General features: G+C 53.4%; 2 protein-coding genes and 1 non-coding gene across 21 annotated transcripts, besides 2 other annotated features; 1 reads left to right on the top strand and 2 right to left on the bottom strand.

Moving 5' to 3' along the window:
• MRPL43 (mitochondrial ribosomal protein L43) lies at nucleotides 29–9,706 on the top strand. 11 transcript variants are annotated; one of them, NM_001394981.1, is made up of 6 exons: nucleotides 29–213; nucleotides 330–436; nucleotides 551–777; nucleotides 3,452–3,578; nucleotides 3,709–3,771; nucleotides 8,515–9,706. In NM_001394981.1, exons 1-6 carry the CDS (start codon nucleotides 83–85, stop codon nucleotides 8,706–8,708), a joined length of 849 nt encoding a protein of 282 aa, NP_001381910.1. In that variant the 5' UTR covers nucleotides 29–82; the 3' UTR covers nucleotides 8,709–9,706. The 11 variants fall into 11 exon arrangements, 9 of the variants coding, with proteins under 9 accessions (NP_001381910.1, NP_001381911.1, NP_789764.1 ...); NM_001394982.1 differs by having other exon boundaries at nucleotides 8,154–9,706; NM_176794.2 differs by lacking the exon at nucleotides 8,515–9,706 and adding an exon at nucleotides 5,983–6,150.
• Nucleotides 201–270: an enhancer, noted in NCBI's record as "active region_3902". NCBI's record gives its function as "activates an Ori minimal core promoter by ATAC-STARR-seq in GM12878 lymphoblastoid cells {active_cell/tissue: GM12878}" and the evidence as "EXISTENCE:reporter gene assay evidence [ECO:0000049][PMID:35858748]".
• SEMA4G (semaphorin 4G) lies at nucleotides 1,910–18,022 on the bottom strand. Of its 9 annotated transcripts, none has more exons than XR_007061978.1 (17): nucleotides 17,935–18,022; nucleotides 17,602–17,834; nucleotides 14,490–14,997; nucleotides 14,249–14,397; nucleotides 13,917–13,979; nucleotides 9,796–9,894; nucleotides 9,138–9,231; nucleotides 8,886–8,999; nucleotides 8,508–8,677; nucleotides 8,255–8,424; nucleotides 7,534–7,678; nucleotides 7,182–7,404; nucleotides 6,833–6,948; nucleotides 6,529–6,704; nucleotides 6,297–6,358; nucleotides 3,169–4,221; nucleotides 1,910–3,036 (listed from the first exon to the last, which is right to left on the bottom strand). XR_007061978.1 is itself a non-coding variant. In NM_017893.4 (15 exons), exons 2-15 carry the CDS (start codon nucleotides 14,611–14,613, stop codon nucleotides 3,395–3,397), a joined length of 2,532 nt encoding a protein of 843 aa, NP_060363.2. In that variant the 5' UTR covers nucleotides 14,614–14,997; nucleotides 17,935–18,022; the 3' UTR covers nucleotides 1,910–3,394. The 9 variants fall into 9 exon arrangements, 3 of the variants coding, with proteins under 3 accessions (NP_060363.2, NP_001380854.1, NP_001190173.1); NR_172054.1 differs by having other exon boundaries at nucleotides 6,544–6,704; NR_172056.1 differs by lacking the exon at nucleotides 17,602–17,834.
• MIR608 (microRNA 608) lies at nucleotides 12,442–12,541 on the bottom strand. Its single transcript, NR_030339.1, has one exon. It is a non-coding gene; the product is annotated as a microRNA 608 (primary transcript).
• Nucleotides 18,006–18,065: a silencer, noted in NCBI's record as "silent region_2711". NCBI's record gives its function as "represses an Ori minimal core promoter by ATAC-STARR-seq in GM12878 lymphoblastoid cells {active_cell/tissue: GM12878}" and the evidence as "EXISTENCE:reporter gene assay evidence [ECO:0000049][PMID:35858748]".

Raw genomic sequence — 18,702 nt, 5'->3', positions numbered from 1 at the left:
CGTCCCGGAACCGGAAGCCTCGAGGTTTAGTCCCGCCCCCCTCTCCTCGCTGCTTAGGCTCCGCGGCCTCCAAGCTGTAGCTATGACGGCGCGCGGGACTCCGAGCCGCTTCTTGGCCAGCGTTCTCCACAACGGACTGGGTCGCTATGTGCAGCAGCTGCAGCGTCTGAGCTTCAGCGTCAGCCGCGACGGCGCCTCGTCTCGCGGCGCCAGGTGAGCCAAGGGAAGTGCGCAGGCGCGGGTCGGGGTGGGTGTGGAGGTGGCAACGACTCCCCGGGTAGGTCGCCCCCAGTCAGGGGTCATACTGCTCACTGTCCCGGGTCGCTTAGGGAGTTCGTGGAGCGGGAGGTGATCGACTTCGCCCGACGGAATCCAGGGGTCGTAATATATGTAAACTCGCGTCCGTGCTGCGTGCCCAGAGTAGTGGCCGAATACCGTGAGTGGGGCCGGGCTCGGGCTGGAGGGCGGGATCAGGGGCTCGACCCGCTATCCTCCTTCTCGCTTGGTCGCACCGGCCAGCTTCCACCCACTCTCACCCCTCTTCTGCCAGTTAACGGGGCTGTGCGCGAGGAGAGCATCCACTGCAAGTCGGTCGAGGAGATCTCGACGCTGGTGCAGAAGCTGGCCGACCAGTCGGGCTTGGACGTGATCCGCATCCGCAAGCCCTTCCACACCGACAACCCTAGCATCCAGGGCCAGTGGCACCCCTTCACCAACAAGCCGACCACGTTCCGCGGGCTACGCCCCCGAGAGGTTCAGGATCCTGCCCCAGCCCAGGTGCAAGCACAGTGAAGAGTTGCCCCACCAACTGCAGCCCCAGGCTTTGGACTGTTACTCCGGTAAAGGTGGTTCTTCCCCTTTGGGATTCCAAGCCCAGGCAAATGGAACCCATCAATGGGCAAGTTGACAGAGGTTCTGCTTGGGATAATGAAGAGCTGCCTGTTTCTTTCCAGTGCCTGCTTCTGGGGGCAGTGACCTTGTGAACCACTCATTTTTATGCAAGTGGCATCCCTAAAACCTGAGATGAGGAAGACTTCAAGGGTTTTACAGGGCCCTTGTTTTTTAAATCCAAATTGATAATAATGATCTCAAAACACAGTGAGAGGTCTGAAGGCTGGCTTCTGAAGAATCCCTGATGTCTTATTGGAACAACCACTGAGCTACGGAGAGCTCTGCTGTGATGGGCTAGGCACTTTATATCTGTGTGAATACAGATTTATAAAACAGGTTAATAAACTTATCCAAGGTCACATTTCAGGTCTGTCTTCAAAATGTGTGCATATGTTAAGCACAAGCCTCAGTTTTCATTATTTTAAAACTAGACGCAGAACATATAACAACTGTCAGGTGGTTAGTATCAAAGGCCAAGTGATTAATCTAGGCCTGACCCCTGAAAGGGAGAGGGGAGTGATTCTCAGACCAAGTCCTGGCTGACAAGCTTTCTCTGGTCTTAGCTATACATCTCCTTCCCCCCACGTCCCTCTTTGTGCAGAAATAAAATCCATGTCCCTTGAGCCAGCTGGTGGGGGGTGCTGAGAACCTTGGGGAAGGGCAGGAAGGCTGATATTAATGAGTATTTTCTAATCTTAGTTTAAAAAGGGGGGATGGTGGGGAAATGAGAGGCAGGAAATGAAAATCTAGAAACCCCTGTAAGAATTCTTGAACTGTTGTCATTTTCTTGTCATGCCCTAACACCATGATCAATGAATAGTGTGAACCTTACTAAAGAGGCCTGTGTGCCTGCCAAGGAGTCAGGATGGAAGCGGAGGATCCCAATTTCCTCTGCAAATAGTTGTATTGGGGAGCAGAGCCAATCCTGGAGGCAGATATCACCTTCTGTATAGGCTCAGGAGCCTGTCCCCTGGTGATCAGGGGTGGGCGCATCTAGATGAAGCAGACTAGTCATAGCTGTGGGGAAAAAGGGTGTTTATTAACCAACGGCAGGGGGAGGAGCTGAGCCCAGGCTCCCCACTCTGTCACATGCCTGTTCCACCCACCTGGTTGTAAGTGGGGGCATTCCTAAAGAAGTGTAGCCATTCTCACAATAAATACATTCATTGTGGGGTGGAGGTGGGAGAGGTTGGGTGAAGGGCAGTAAAAACCCGTGGGATTCCACGTTCTCAGCTACAAAAATAACAGTCATCCTCACCCGAGGGGAATGGGGGAGCTCAGTCAGAATTGATTGTCCCATATAGGCCTAGAGACTTCAGAGGCCCCTGGCCCCTGAAAGTGCCCCGGTGAGGTAGGACAGGGGTAGGAGCTAAGCGTCCAAACTCCCAGCCTCTGCCCTTTGCATAGTTCCAAGAATGGGCTTCATGTGCCAGTTGAGACATCAGATTTCTCCTCCCTTTCCCTGCTGTAGTCTAGAGGAAGCAAATGCTTGATTCCCCCAAAAGAGAGGCTGGCTCATTGAGTGCAGTGTTGGTCATCCATCCTAGGCAAGGGCCTGTGAGGACAGTTAAATGGGAGGGGGATCTCCCTCTGAAATGTCCACGGACTAAACCCAACAGACAGGTCCAAGACAGCAAGGGAGGCTCAGAGGTGCATGTGAGTGGAAATGTAAGCACATGTGTGATACAGGTGTGTGTTACCACATGTGCATGGGGATGGGACATGCCTGGAGCTCTGTCTCTCATACTCTTGAGAATGACCAAGGAGAGTGGGGAGGCTGATTCACAAGGGCCACACAGGAAGGGAGAGGAGGGGAGTGATGCAGTCTTACCTCCCCAGGCTGGCCCGTTCCCAAGCTCTTGACAAAGAGGTCACCACATGGGGCTGGGGAAGAGGACCAGATAGGATGTGGCAATTGGGAGGGTACCCCAAGTCCAGAAGCAGGGATGAAACAAGAATGCACCAGGAGAAGGTGAGGGTGGGGGCACTGCAGCCCAGCCGATAAACATTCTTCCATGTGTGCATGTGAATGTACGCAGGGCTTAGGTGGCTGGCAGAGGTCTTGTCTGGTTTCAGGACCATCCAGCACACAGGGCCATGCAGAGGGTGGTGACATTGAGCCCATATGGACCTGCAGAGCCCTGCCTGGGAGAAAGAGAAAGGGTTTGGGCAGATGAATGGAACAGGAGGATGGAGTCCTCACCTATAAGTGTTTAGGTTAGGGGATAGGAACTGGCTCTGGGTCTGCAGGGCACCTGATCCTGAGGGAGCACCTACCTCTGAGGAGCACCGATGGGCCTGGGCTGCTCACATGTGGGTCTGTGGAGACTGAGGAGGGGGCTTTGGCTGGGCCTGACTGGCCAGCCCTACAGGGACATCAAAAAGTTGGGAGAAGGGTATGGAGTGGGGGTAATGAAGGGAGGGTGGCTGTGTTAGGGAGGCAGTGGCCCAGCCTGGGACAGATAGGCTGGCTTGGAAGAGCATTTGTTCTGGGAGGCTGGGCTCAGACAGAGCTCTCATCTAGCTGCTCCACGAGCTGCGTGTGCTTCCTTTTTTCCAGGATGCGGCTGAGTTCCTCGGCGAAGGAGCAGGGCCCTGCTGGTACTCCATTGTTGCTCTGCCTCAGAAGCACATAGCTATTGCCATTCATCCTCCGCAGCCGGCTGGGCAGTGCCACCAAGCCATTGGTCAGCTCAGCCGGTGGCGGTGGGGGCGGTGGGGGTGGTGGGGCTGGGGCTCCCTCCCCAGGGATGATCTGGAGACAGCTGCCCTCCAGGCCCCCAGCCCCCTCATCATCACCCTCATCTTCCTCTCCAGGACACTGGCCTGAGACTGTCTGCAGTTGCACCGCAGATCCTCCTGCCCGGCTGGCCCGACCCAGTGAGTATTTCCGTCGGCGCCCTCGTCTGCCTTCCCGCAGACAGGCCACATAGAGGAGGGAGGAGGCCAGGATGAGGCAGAGGCCACCAAGCGCGGCAATGGCTAGCACATAGAGCAGTCTCACATCAGGTGCCAGCTGTGCCCCAGGTGTGGCAGGGGCTTTTGGAGCTGGGGCAGGAGTGGCTGGCCGGACTGTGAGACTATAGGAGGCCAGCAGGGTGCGGAGGCCATTTTCCTCGGCATAGCAGCCATAGTTGCCACTGTGCTCAGGCTGTGCATCTGTAACCAGCAGCCCGTCCACGCCCACACGGTAGCCACCCTGCCCATCGCTCAGGCCCATGCTCCCATTGAGTAGCCACAAGGCCCGGGCCAGGTTGGATGGCTGGTCACAGGGCAGGAGGACATCATCACCCCGGAGCACAGAGCGGGTCTTCAGTGGTGGTGGTGGCCCTGTGGGGTTTGGGGGAGAGGTCAGTACCAGCCCGTCCCAGGAAGGGATTAGAGATGGCAAGCCAGACTGTTCACTGCCAAGTCCCTGGCACCAAGCACAGAACCCAGAATCACAGTGACAGCTGACCCAGGCTCTGTGCTCATGCTTCCACAGAAGGTTCACGTTGGCCCTTCCCAGGAAGCAGGCAGTGCCTTGGGCCCTTTTCCATTCTCTCTCCATGCTCTCATCCTCTCCTGTGGTTTCAATTTCTGCCATCTGCCAGTAACTCCTAATCTCTACCTCAGACTTCTCTCCTGAGTGCCAGACTCGGATATCTACCATGTGCTGGGCATCTCCACATGAGGTCTCTTGGACACCTCAAAACCAAAGCTTTTCTCCCCAACGACACCAAGTCCTTTCCTTGAATCGCCACCACTGTGAATGGCACCACCAGCCACACAGTTGCTTAAGTCAGAAACCTGGGAGTCTCCCTTCTCTTTCTTGCTCGCCTTTTTGTTTTGTTTTGTTTTTTTGAGACGGAGTCTCATTCTGTCGCCTAGGCTGGAGTGCAGTGACGTGATCTCAGCTCACTGCAACCTCCACCTCCCTGGTTCACGCGATTATCTTGCCTCTGGCTCCTGAGTAGCTGGGATTACAGGCATATGCCACCATGCCCAGCTAGTTTTTGTATTTTTAGTAGAGACAGGGTTTCACCATGTTGGCCAGGCTTGTCTCGAACTCCTGACCTCAAGTGATCCACTCGCCTTGGCCTCCCAAAGTGCTGGATTATAGGCATGAGCCACCGTGCCCGGCCCTTCTTCACGTTTGTATCTAACTGTCACTAAGATTCTGTTTCTGGCATCTATCTTAGACCTGTTGATTTCTCTCCTTCCATGACTCCTGGCCCACTCTGGCCCCATGTAATCCATTCTTCATGAGAGGTATTTTAAAAACACAAATCTGATCATGCCACTCTCCAGCCTAAAACTCTTCAGAGGTTTCCTATTGCTTTTCGGATAAAGACCAAAATCTTCAACATGGCCTTTGCCCACTTGTCCAGCCTATTCTCCTGTCACTCAAATGTGCCAGCCTCCCTCTGCCTGCTGCTCCCTCTGCTTGCATGTCACCCCATTACCCCATGTCCTCTGCTTGCCTGGCTAACTTGTGGGAGATAGCATAGTATAGTGACCAGAAGCACAAAGTCAAATCAGACTGCTTGGGGTCAGGTTTGAATTCTTTTTTCTTTCTTTTTTTTTTTTTTTGAGATGAGATGAGGTCTCACTCTGTTATCCAGGCTGGAGTGCAATGGTGTGATCTTGGCTCACTGCAACCTCTGCCTCCCAGGCTCAAGTGATCCTCCCACCTCAGCTTTCCAAGTAGCTGGGATTACAGACATGTGCCACCACACCCGGCTAATTTTTGTATTTTTTGTAGAGATGGGGTTTTGCCATGTTGCCCAGGCTGGTCTCCAATTCCTGAGCTCAAGCAATCCACCTACCTCAGCCTCCCGAAGTGCTGGGATTACAGGCGTGAGCCACTGTACTCAGCCAGGTTTGAATTCTGGTCCAGTTTCTTAATAGCTGAATAAGTTTGAGCAATTTACTTACACTCCCTGGGCTTCAGAGAGGTCCCTCATGGGGATAATAATAATGGCACCTTTCTCATAAGAATGCTGTGACAGTAGATGACATCATGCATAGAAGTATTTAGATCAGTGTCTGGCACACAGTAAATACTTAATACATCTTAGCTGTGATGATTAACTTTTGTTCTTTCTTCAGATATCAGTTCAGTCATCCGATCTTCCTTGGGGAAATACCCATTACCGTCCTGAACCCTTGTCATCCACTACTTGGCTATAAGCTCCAGAAGTGACAAGACACTTCACATCTTAAATATGTTTCCTAGTTTATAATTCATTTGGGCAGTAAATGTTTGTTGAGCACTTACTCTGTGCCAGGCTCTGTGTTTGAGTCATCCTTACCAAATGTACATAGCCACAGCCACTCAGATACAAACATATACGTACACATGGCAGTAAATGGCAAAGAGGACAGTCTGCGTAGCTAGACCCACACTCATATGAGTCACTTACCTGTATCCCTGCTGCTCTCACAGCCTCGATTTCCTCTCTCTATGTCCTGTATCAGTGCTGTCCTGGGACAGAAGATCAGGTTTTATGAACAAGGGGAACTGGGTTTCAGTTTCCCAGTGAAAGGGTAGATAGGTCTGTTACTAATAACTAGCCCCTGCACTCCCCCAGTAGCTATCAGGCCTTCCTCCTCCACTCAGACCACATGTGACTGTCACCCCCCACCACTTCCCACCTGCTTCCCTGGGACCTGTTGGCTATGGTGGTGGCTGCTGCGCAGGCATGGGTGCCAGGGTCCCAGCCACAGTAGGGGTCTCGGGCCAAGATGCAGTCATAGCAGGATCGGTAGCGGGAGCAGCTGGAGAGTGGTAGCTGGATGACTCCGCTAGGAGCCCCCACATAGAGGCTGTGCTGGGAGCCAGATAGGACAGTTGGTCGGCAGCGTCCCCACTCATACAGATACACAGCCTCTGCCCAACCTCCCCACTCCCTCTTCCTATTTCAGCAAGGCTATATTAAGGGTCACAGAGAAGGGCTACCTGCAATAGAGAGATGACTAGATTTTCCACAGACTGGGACTCCCTGAACACTTGTGTCTCTTCAATAATGTGCATCCCAGAGCCCAGGACTACGGCCTTGTGGATCCAGCCATCAGCTGGTATGGAAAGAGCAGAGAGTTAGACCCCAACTATGGGATCTGCTCTCAGCACCCTGCAAGAGGCCTAATACGAACAGCTCAGGAGTCCTGAGGTCCAGAACAAGGACTCAGCCAGGAGCAGTGGACCCTCAGGACACTGGGAACTCCAGACTAGTCATGGCAGGAATTAATGGATTCAGAAGCATTAGTGATCAGGGCCAACAGGGATCAGGGATTGGGATCAGAAGCACCTGTGCCCAGAAAGAGCAGGTCATAGGTAGGTCCAGCAGGCGTGGTGACAGGTGTCCCTGTAAGGTGTGTGTAGCGTATGTTGCGCTTGAGCAGCAGGGGCCGTCCACGTGTGGGCACAACGGGCCGAGCCATCAGTGGGTGCAACTTTACAAAGTCCAGGACCAGGGATGGCAAGTCTTGGGATGAATTGTAGCCTTGGCTGCGCAATGAATCTGTGATACACTGGCGTGGGGGACGAAGGTGGTGAACCTCGGGACTCCACCACCTGCCTGCCCTCTCCACAAGGCCAGACCCTTTGACCCTTCCCTGGGCTCTGTCTACTCAGCACTGGCCCCAGGCCTGGGCACTCACCGAGCCAGGCCGGGGCTCAGGCACCCCACCCTCATAGCGACCCCAGCGCCGGGAACCATCCTGGTATTCCATATAGGGTCCTGCAAAGACAGCCTGGATCTCTGCCAGGTCATAGCGGCAGATGGCTGAGGCCTCCAGGGTCTTCCTAGAATGGGACATAGGGCAAGGGGGGTGAGTTACATGGAGTCAAGCCTGCCCCCCAACTCGTGCTCAGCCTGAAGCTCACTGTTACCCTGGCCAACCCCAGCTATAGTCCCACAGGGCCTCTCCTGTGAGTCAGTGGACCACTGCATTCATTCTCTGGCTCTAGCCTAGCTTGATGTGCTTAAAATTCTCACTTTGCCAGCACTTTGAGAGGCCGAGGCGAGCAGATCACGAGGTCAAGAGATCGAGACCATCCTGGGCAACACAGTGAAACCCCATCTCTATTAAAAATACAAAAATTAGCCAGGCGTGGTGGCACACGCCTATAGTCCCAGCTACTCGGGAGGCCGAGGCAGGATAATCACTTGAACCCGGGAGGCGGAGATTGCAGTGAGCCGAGATCGCGCCACTGCACTCCAGCCTGGCAACAGAGCAAGACTCCCTCTTAAAAAAAAAAAAAAATTCTCACTTTGCAGCCAGACCTCCCCACAGTGGATCCTATCTCATCCTCATTGACCTCTGCTCCAGCCCCTATGCTGTCCGCAGTTTCTTGCCTCCCGATTGTCCCTGCACTGACCACTGTGTGCTCAGCGTGAAGGCTGCATAGAAGTGTGTACGGCTTGAGGTTTCAGCATCCAGGCTGCAGACCCCACGCAGTGTCTCATACAGTGGAATGTGGCAGATGAGACGGGCTTTCAGGAAGGAAGTCCACTTCTTCTGCAGGATCTTCTTCCCTCCCAGGTCTCCCTGGGGAGGTAGAGGCACGGGATAAGGGGCCAGGGTCAGAGGTCCAGCCTCTATACCCGTGCCCCAACGTCAGCCCAATCCACCTTGCAGACACGAGCCACACGGGCCACACGGTGACTGCTGCGGCTCTGAGTGAAGCTGCCAGAGCCCTCCTCAGTGGCACGCTCCGTGAAGAAGTAGTACACCTTGTCATCATCACCCACTGCACTGGCCTTGCTCTCCCGCACGAGGACGGAGAACACAAACTCCGCATCTGTGGGTCAGGCAGTTTGAGAGGCTTTTGAGACAGGCTGGGGATTCCTTTCCCTCACTCTGAGGCTGACCCCTCACTTGACAACACACAGGAATGGAATGGACAGGCTCACCTGGGGATTTGGGGGTGGGGTGGTCAGCTGGCCAAGGGAGTAAAAATGAAGAAATAGTCCCCTACCCCCCATCATCCTGTGCCTCATCCTCCTAACCATTGAGCCAATGCATTGGTGTCTCCTCAGTTCTCAGGGAGTGTGGGTGGCGGCTCCGGCGGATGTCAGGAATGCTCCGGAATTCATACCTAGTGGCTGTGTAGAGGCCTCCATCTGGCGTGGGGATATTCCAGGCATGAGAGACATGTCATATTCAACAGGGCACATGACATATACATGGTGGCAGGTCCTAGAGATGAGATCCACATCCTAAAAATACCATGTCTGTGATAGGGAAGAAGGCCTGCTCACCAATGATGAGGCCTGTGAAGCCACGGGCTGGGTCATAAGGACACTTCTCCTTCCCCTCCTCGAAGCTGGTTGGCAAGGTGAAGGCCTCAGCATCCTAGGGAACAAGGAACCAGCAGTAAGTGGTTCCGAAGACAGGCAGGGACAGTGGCTCAAAGTCAGATCAGTCTGGGGTCAGGGATCAGCGATCAGGGATAGGGGCAGGTTGTATGGCAGATGCACCTGACAGCAATAACTTAAGCATCCCCTGAGAATGACCTTATGGCCTCAAAACAATGTATGTTTGGAGTTCCAAATCTGCAAGTGGCCAACCTAGAGATTCACTCCTTATCTATGAAGAACATCTGAGCCCCTAGCCCATCCTGTGGAACACATGCTGTCCAGGGGATCAAGGCCCTTTGTTTTGGGTTAAATGAAGTTTGCCAGGTGGAGGTGATTAGGGGGAGGATGCTAAGTGAAAATGCTATAAAAACTGCATGGTTTTTACAAAGGGGAATGGTTCTCCAGTGCAGCCCGCCGCCACTGGAGTGCCCTGTATGGAAGTCCCCTTAATAAACCATCCGTCTCCTTCACTGGCTCTGAGTCTCTTCTTTGGCATCTTGAACATGATCCCATCCCTAATGAAGTCAACAGAGATCTGGCACAACACAGGTATACTCACAATGGCTGCACAGAGGGGCTGGAAGGCGTGAGTCCCACATGCATAGAGGTGGGTAGAATTGAGCCGCTGCAGGAACCGCACATGGTTAAAGCACTCCGTCTGTGGGATGAGGTGGAGAGGGCTGTGAGCCCCCTGCCTGACTAGAAGCCTCCTCCATTAGTCTAGCTTTGTAGTTTGGCTCTTGCCCCCACCCACAGGACAAACGGTTCTTTCCAAGATACCTGTGATCCTTCTCACTGCTCCAGAATATTTCCTGGAACTCACTGTCCTTGGCCTCCCAGTAACATGACCCTATTTCTCTCCTCTGTCCCTCAGATTACCTGACACCATTCTGCCAATATCTCCTGTGTCTCTTGCAGTTCCCTCCACCTCTGGTTCAAGAGCTCCCAGGGATTCCACCATCCTGAGGTGCTTCTCCTCTCCCATCCAGCTCCTTCTCAGCACCTCTTTCTATTCTTGGAACTCCTGCCCTCCTCGCTGGGGTGATACAACCAAATCTATCCCTAGATGCCAGCTTGCTCTCCACCCGATATCCCAGGGATGTTTCAAACTCACCTTGTCAGAAGCCAAGTTCATCCCCTCCTCCATAACCTACATCTTTCCTAAACCTGTTTATCCAGTCTTTCCCACCTCACTTCATCCAACCTACGACTCAACCTAGAAGCCAGGGATCATCCTTGCTGCTTCCTACTTCCTCACCCCCACATTCAGTCCCTCTCCACAATTAATTCATTGTCCTAAAAGTCTCTTGACTTGGTCCACTTTGACTCCACCACCAGCACCCAGTCCAAATGACCACCATGACCTCTTCCTTAGACATCTGCAGTTGCTACCTGATAGCTCCTCCCAACCTTCTCTTTTATAAAAACGACTTTATAAAGCTATTTATTCAGTCAATGAATACATGTACATAGTATAAAACTTAGAAAGTACAAAGGGGTATGTTATAAACAGGGAGTCTCCCATTTATCCCTGTCTCCCAGGTTGCCTGCCAAGAAGACTGCTGTTACTATTGTCTGAAGTTTCCTTCCAGAGATATTTTACCAAACAACACACTTTTGCTACTCTCCAACCACTTTCCAAGGGATATTCTAAAAATGTAAACCTAGCCAGGTGTGGTGGCTCACACCTGTAATCCCAGCACTTTGGGAGGCTGAGGTGGGAGGATCACTGGAGCCCAGGAGTCCAAGACCAGCCTGGACAATATAGCAAGACCTCATCTCTATGTGGTGGCATGCACCTGTAGTCCTAGCTACTTGGGAGGCTTAGGCAAGAGAATTGTTTGAGCCCAGGAGGTCGAGGCTGCAGTGAACCACTGCACTCCAGCCTGGGCAACAGAGTGAGACCATGTCTGAAAAAAAGTCAAGTGGATCACACCACTGTATCGGCTCATCAGTGACCTGAATATAGAGTCCCACATGCTCCTAGCCCTGTGTGATGGGACTCTGCCCATTCCTCTGGTCTCACTCACCCTACTCCAGCCACACTGGTCTTCTCTGCCTGTCAAATGCCCTCAGCTGCCAGCCTCTTGACTCCTTTGCCACGTTAATGATTCCTCCTCTTGCCTGTTACCCAGGGTTTAAATCCATACAGGCCTCTTTGTGTCTCCTCCTGCTCCCTCACCTGGTACAAGCCACTACCATCTGTCCCCCGTCTCCATAAGCCTGCTCAGGCCCCTTCCTCTGACCCAAATGATGCCCCCAGCCTCCTCACTGCTTTTCCTGCCTCCAGACTCACCCTATTTTCATCCATCCAGTGCCTGGGGCCAGATAAATATTCCTAAAGTGATGTTTCCCCAAGATGTTTATTTATTTTTTTAATTTTATTTTTTTTGAGACGGAGTCTTGCTCTGCCGCTAGGTTGGAGTGCAGTGCATGATCTCAGCTCACTGCAACCTCCGCCTCCCGGGTTCAAGAGATTCTCCTGCCTCAGCCTCCCGAGTAGCTGGGACTACTACTCTCAACACCATGGTGATGTGACTGGGACTACTACTCGCATGGATGTGCATCACCATGCCGGGCTAATTTTTGTATTTTTAGTAGACACAGGGTTTCACCATGTTGGCCAGGCTGGTCTCGATCTCTTGACCTCATGATCCACCCGCCTCGGCCTCCCAAGGTGCTGGGATTACAGGCCTGAGCCACCGTGCCCAGCGGATGTTTACATTTTTTAAAGGGGGGTAGGGAGGAATTCTCTGGTCAAATAACTTTGGAAACCACAGGTGAAACCTATCTTTACTGGGCTTACTTCCTAGAGCCTGAAGGATGTTGCTGTGCATTGTGGGACTGGGCATGTAGTGTTTCCCAAACTCATTTGACATTTAAACCCCTCCTTTGAAAATTAATGTTCCTCAGAACATGCTTTGGGAACTGTTCTATAAAGCCTTGCTATCCAAAGTGTGGTCTGGGGACCAGCAGCATCAACTTCACTTGGGAGCTTGTTAGAATTGCAGACTCTTGGGCCCTTCCCCAGACCTACTAAGTTTAGCATCTGCATTTATAATATACCTGGGTGATACATTAAAGTTAGAGCCTCTAAAGTATCAAATTCTGAGGGTGTTCACTGTCACAGAATAAAACCCAAACTCCCAGCTGGGCATCTGTGGCCTTCCATGACCTGGTTCCATCTGCCTCCCCAGCCCCATTTTCTACCTGTGCTGCACCAAGAGGCAGCCTTTGATGGAAGCTCTTGGAGATGCCTTTTTAAACGGAGCTGTCCCAACACCACCCCTGGCCCACCTTGGCCCAGTGGATCTTGGGAATTTTTTTTTAATTATTTTTTATTAGAGATAGAGTCTCATTATATTGTCCAGGCTGGCCTCGAACTCCTGGGCTCAAGTGATCCTCCTGCCTTGGCCTCCCAAAGTGTTGAGATTACAAGTGTGACCCACCATGCCCAGCCCAGGGCCGTTTATTTTGTAAAAGCTCTCCAGATGGAGCCATTACCTAGCCAGACATGGGACCCCTGGAGACACCCTATTCTTTAGCTGGAAAGGGCTGATGCTTCATTAATGCCTGTCCATGGAATACTGGGTATTTGACCTATTCCTTGACCAAAGACTCATTTTTCTCATCTGCAAAATGCAGGATAATACTATTTCATAGGGTTATTTTAGAATTAACTGAGATAATAGCTAAATCATCACTTGCTGTAGATAGTTGCTGACTTAACAATGGTTCAATTTATTATGATGGTTTTATTGGTAAGTAACCCATCGTAAGTAAGCATCTGTAGAGGTTACTTACTGTTTTTTGTTGGTTTGTTTTTTTGAGACAGGGTTTTGCTCTGTCATCCAGGCTGGAATGTGTGGCTTAATTATAGCTCACGCAGCCTCAACCTCCCAGGCCCAAGTGATACTCCCACTCAGCTTCCCAAGTAGCTGGGACTACAGGTGCACGCCAGCATACTTGGCTAATTTTTGTATTTTTTTTGTAGACAGATCTCGCTGTGTTGCCAAGGCTGATCTTGAACTCCTGGACTCAAGTTGTCCTCCTACCCTCAGCCTCCCAAAGTGTTGGGATTACAGATGTGAGCCACCGCGTTCAGCCTACTTATTGCCATTTTGATTATTTGGGATCCCAGAGGAGATGAAGATGCCACTGCGGGACAAACTAGTAGGCCACCAGATGGTTGAATTAGAAGTACTGTGCCCAGATGCCGGGGGCAATGGCTTACATCTGTAATCCCAGCACTTTGGGAGGCTAAGGTAGGGGGACTGCTTGAGGCCAGGAGTTCAAGACCAGCCTGGGCAACATAGCAAGACCCTGTTTCTACAAAAAATAAAACACTTAGCTGGGCGTGGCATGTGCCCGTGGTCCTAGCTACTCAGGAGGCTGAAGTGGAAGGATCCCCTGAGCCCAGGAGTTTAAGGCCACAGGGAGCTATGATCATGTCACTGTACTCCAACCTGGATGACAGAGTGAGATCCGACCTCAAAAAAAGAAAAAAAAAAAAATGCTGTGCCCATGGCTTGCCACTCTGGCAATACTTACAATGTTTACTGTGGTTGCTGAGATTGACTGGCAGGTCTGTACCTACCCATCTGTGTCCCCAACAATCCTGGCATCCCTGATTGAGGAAGAAGGGGAGGAAAGGAGCTGGGGACAGGGCAGACCACATACCTGGTTGTTTTTCCCTTTTTGATGACATTTGCTTTGCATCTCTGGGGAGGCTTCCCAGTGGATCTAGTGGAGGCAAAGGGAATAGGCTGATGCACTGACCCCAATACCTATTACTCATAGGACCAGGCAATAGGACCCCACAGAGTTGGGGAAATTGGGGTGGGGATCAATTTCAGGAGGAACACTGAATGCAAGGAACACCTGGGCTGGGAAGGGCAGTGCTGTCTGACCAGGGGGCTATGGAAGGCTGGCAGGGTTTTAAGGAAGTTGAGGTCCCAGGGAGCTGGATAAGCATAGAGACCCTCTGGGTGGTCCAGGTTCCAGGGCCTGACCTCTTTGTGAGCCCCATCTCCTATGTCGTTGGCACTGAGAGAGAACAGGGCACCTCGGGCTCCCACCAGCAGCCTTGCTGAGGCCTCCTCCAGCAGCAGTGTTGAGTAGTTCTGGGCTTGGCCCTTGAAGTGCCGGGTCCCAGAGAGCTCTGGGGAGAGCAGGAACAGTGAGCCCTAGTTCTGGGGTGCCTCCCCACCCCCAGCCCTGGCTTCTGCTGCCTTTTGAGGTTGAGGGTCTAACCTTCATAGGGTATGGTCATCCGAGGGGTGGCATCTAGTTCTCTAGACGGTCTCCGCAGTGAGGGTCCTGGGACTGCAGTTGCTGTGAGGATGCTGAGGAGGAGGGGCCAGAGCCTCCCCCACATCTTCCTGGGGAGGCCCAGACTAACAAGACCCCCAAAGGGAGCCAGAGTCACAGGTTGTGGGGGCGGGGAATGGGAAGCACAGTCACAGGGGTCAAAGTCCAAGGAAGTCACTTGGAAGGTCAGGGGTCATAAGGTCATAGGAGTCAAGGAATCATGGGGCCATGGGGGGTCCTGGAATCGGGGGGACATGGAGTCACAGGGTTGTGTGGCCATGGAATCCCCAGCTAAGAGGTCAGAAGGAGGGAGGGATCACATGCCTTTCTGCATCAAATGCAAACTCCATGGTGAGAGGGAGTTGTGAAGTTCTAGAGGGGTTGTAGGTTACTGATGGGGTCACCCTGCCCCCGACAGTAGAGCTAGTCCTGGTTTTCTGAGGTCCGTTTTCTGAAGAAAAAACGGGGAAAAAAAAGCCCTTTGATCTGTATGTGGGTGGAAGATGGATGGCGTTACCCAGACTTCAGGGGGCACTGAAAGAAGGAGGCCCAGCATCCACAGAACGCCCACGCCAGGATCGACTCACAATCATTCTGTCTATCGCTTTGCTCTGATGCAGGAGGCTGGGGTGGAACTTACCTTCCTTACAAGACCCTAGATGCCCACAACCCGAAACCCAAGGTCATGACCCTCTTCTGGCCAAGTCAGAAGCTCCACTAGGCCCTCAAGTCAAAGGAGCTGGGGTTCTTGGAGAGAATGCCTGCTTCTCCCAACAATGAGATGCAACTCGGTCAGCAGCTGCCCCTGCTGCCTGCGGGGGTGCCTTATGCAGGAGGGCCTAACCAGAGAGGTTTAATGGACCTTTGTTTATTTTGTCCTGCTTTCCCTTTGTTTTTTCTTTTCCCTGGCCTGAGAGCTCCCTCTGGAATTTCTCTTTAATTATAACTTCTTGGTATTCCTCTCCAAGGGGGTGCACATCTCTGCCCACGCCAGTCTGTATTGCACCCTCTGGCTAGGCATCCACACGTGTCCCTATCTGCAAGTAGGCATTCACAGGCATTGGGGTGGGTACCTAGGATCCCCCTGGTTGCACAGGTATAATGTCTGTGCAGAAGGCTGTAGTGTGCAAGGCCAGTTGAGACATAAGCAACGTGAAGAAGGTAAATGATGGGATCCCTGAGCCCTTGGCCCCTCCCGACACATCTTGGACCCTCCCTCAAGCCAACCAGTTGGGGATGGGATGGGGGTGGGTGGCAGGCCTCTCCCAACCCCTGTAACAGGCCTCCTAATCACCAAGGGGTTCCTTGAAGAGTTCCTGGGCTGGGTGAGGTGTGGAGAGACCTAATACATTCCATCTCATCAGCCACCCACAGGCAGGGCCAGAGGGTGCCACTGGTGCCTCCTCTCCCAGGTCAAATATTAACTATCTGGCCTTGGAAAGAGGGGAGGAATCAGGAACTGGCCAGAGGGATAACAGGAGCAATTATTCAAGAGGTAAAGGTCAGCACTGCAGGGGCAGAGCCCTGAGGGGTAGAGTCAAATATGAAAGGGAGAGAAGAGGATTCCCTGACCCTGAAAGGGCATAGGCTCCCTGTTTGGGATCTGGGACAGCAGGAAGCTTCAGGCAAGCCGGCCATGCCCCACCCCTCCCTGTGGAGGCACACCTGTTTACCTTTGGGACCTCCTATTTGCTCAGTGCAAAAGGCATGTGTGTGGGGAGCACTATGGCTAGGAGGAACATGCCCCAGGTTAGAGGAGCCACTCAGTGTGGTGCATGTCACACTTATAGTTTAAGAGTCACATGGGTGACTATTAGGAAGGTGATATACATGCACATGGGTGCACACACACACACACACACATGTTCACAAGGAGGACTGTGAACACGTGGATTCACAGGGGTCATTCACACATATACTCACAGGGAGTTTTGTGCACACATATGCTCATACAGAGGGCCACAGCCACAGGTAATCATACATATTCACATGTGACGTTGAATTTACATGCCCATCCATTCAGCAGGTCACACAGCCTCAGACATTGAGGAGAGATAAACCCACACATGTGGGTTTGTGTCAAGGACTGTGCACCTATTCAACAGGAGGGTCCTATACATACACATGTATGTGTAGGGACATGCACACAAACCCATTGATATAGTGGGCCAGGCAATCATGTTCACAGAAGGGTCAAGTACATGTGTGCTCACACGCAGTTCTTGAACACACAACTACATCCATGCAGAGACAAGCACACATGCATACAGGGGTCCAGTTTTTGCCATAGGCTTGGAGGCTGCCAGTGTCCACTGGGGTGAGATGCAGAGCAGAACCCTGCCTCTGTTCCTGAAAGTCCCAATTCTAAGGCCCAATTTCAAGTGTGTGTTTGTGTGTGGGGGTGGTGAGGGGGTTGTGTGTGTGTGTGTGTGTGGTGATGGGGGAGGCTTCTGACCTTGGATGGGCAGATGGGATGGGTGCATGAGTCAAGGCCGCTCTACAAGGGAGGGAATGGGAAAGTAACTCAGGCAGGAGGAGGCCCCTAGCTTCAGCAAAGATGGAATGGAACGCATAATTTAGTACTCCTCCACCCCTATGTATATTGCGGTTCTAAAGGTGGGAGACGGGCTGGAGCTCTCAGCCCCCACTTAACCTGTGGGAGGGGGCGGGGCTAAGTGGGCGGGGCGGAGCATATCACCCCTCCCTTCAGTGGCGAAGTACGGGTTTAAGGTCTCCAGTCCACGCCCCACACTCCACCCCAAGTTCCACAGTTCGGGTTCTTCCCCAGGGCCAGCCCCCTGAACTCTGATCACCTTTCCTCTATTAGATCTTGGGGTGGAGGGAACTGGGGAGGAGAGACCCTTCAAACAGGATCAATGGAGGATCAGCAGGCTCTCGACCTTCATCCCAGATGTCCACCTGCCTAGTGTAGGCGGTATTTCCCTCTGCCTAGTAGGATGGCGGTCTCTCCTGGCTTGAGAGAGCCCCTCCCCCGGGACCCCCTCCCTCCAACATCCTGGACAGTCCGCGGTCCTCTCCCTTCGTCAGGTCTAACCTCAGTCTCTACTGCTGCAGCTCGAGGACAAGCTCTCCTTCGATCCCGCCGGACGCCGGGAGACGTGACCCAGATCCTGGGGAACACTGTTCGCCACGCGGCCCCCTCCCCGCGCTGGTCCCCGACTCCGTGGTGGCCGGTTTGCACCCCGCGCAGCCCGAGGCCTGGCCCGCGCCCCTCTAGAGCCGTCATGCAGGACCGGGGGACTTGGTGGTGAGAAAGGCCTGGCCCAGCTTGGAGGGTAGAATGGACGTGGGGGAGGCCTTGCCCGACCCCCGGCCCGCAGCCCCAGGCTCACGCCAGGGCGCCGCCCGCACTCCTCGCCTTGCTCACCTTTGCGCTCGGATCCGGGGCCATAGAGACAGCGACGCGCGGCTCCGCGGCCCCACAGCACCAGCTGCGAGAGGAAGGGGCCGCGGCTGGAGGCGGGGCGGGGGGGGGGTGGTGGAGGCGGAGCCGGGGGTGGGGCGGGGTCCTGAAAGGCGGGGCCGACTGGGTGGGGTGAGGGGAAGGTCGCCACTCTCTTCTTTGCGCCCCCTACTCTAGCACAATAGAGGCGGTTTGAGGGCGAGGCTCACACACAGCCTTCGGCCATCGGGCGACCCCCCACCTCTAGGCGCTGCGGCCCTGAAATCGCCCCCTGGTGGTGGCCTCGCCACCCCGTGCACCCTCCACATGCTTATAGCCCGTCCTCTCCTCCGCTGTAACCCTAGGACCCCCCTGACTTGCCTACTGCTGGGGACGTGCAAACCTGTCCTGGCGTTGCGGGGTTGGGGGACCCTCTCGGAGGGCCTTCTGGCCTGTCCTCTAACCTGGACCTCACTCCCTGTGCTCCTGCCACCCGCTTCTGCTCTCGGCCTAGGGTGTGGAGGGAAGGCTACCCTAGGTGGCGACTGGACGTTAGGGAAGCTCTGAACACAAGGTAGGGGCTTGATTCCCAGCTTCAGGGGCTGTTCAGCTTGAGCTATGCGTGGGGGAGATGGGGTCAGGCCTGAAGGGGATAAAGTAACAGCCTGACCTGAAAGGCACACAGAAAATGCTTTTTCTGGATAAATAAGCCACAAGCGTTTGCACCTGTTCACTCACCAAATCTTAACCCTA

The sequence above is a fragment of the Homo sapiens genome, chromosome 10, assembly GCF_000001405.40.
Source record: "Homo sapiens chromosome 10, GRCh38.p14 Primary Assembly".
NCBI classification, from domain to species: Eukaryota; Metazoa; Chordata; class Mammalia; order Primates; family Hominidae; genus Homo; species Homo sapiens.
This window is presented reverse-complemented; position numbering and strand designations above follow the sequence as displayed.

Coding starts and splice junctions, on each gene's coding strand:
- SEMA4G (NM_017893.4), bottom strand. CDS start 14,613: ATGTGGGGGAGGCTCTGGCCCCTCCTCCTCAGCATCCTCACAGCAACT. Junction 7,679..8,254: donor TTCACGCTGAGCACACAGTG/GTCAGTGCAGGG, acceptor GTCCCATTCTAG/GAAGACCCTGGAGGCCTCAG. Junction 7,405..7,533: donor CTGAGCCCCGGCCTGGCTCG/GTGAGTGCCCAG, acceptor CCCCCACGCCAG/TGTATCACAGATTCATTGCG.
- MRPL43 (NM_001394981.1), top strand. CDS start 83: ATGACGGCGCGCGGGACTCCGAGCCGCTTCTTGGCCAGCGTTCTCCAC. Junction 3,579..3,708: donor GCAGTGCCACCAAGCCATTG/GTCAGCTCAGCC, acceptor CTTCCTCTCCAG/GACACTGGCCTGAGACTGTC. Junction 3,772..8,514: donor TGCCCGGCTGGCCCGACCCA/GTGAGTATTTCC, acceptor TCCACCTTGCAG/ACACGAGCCACACGGGCCAC.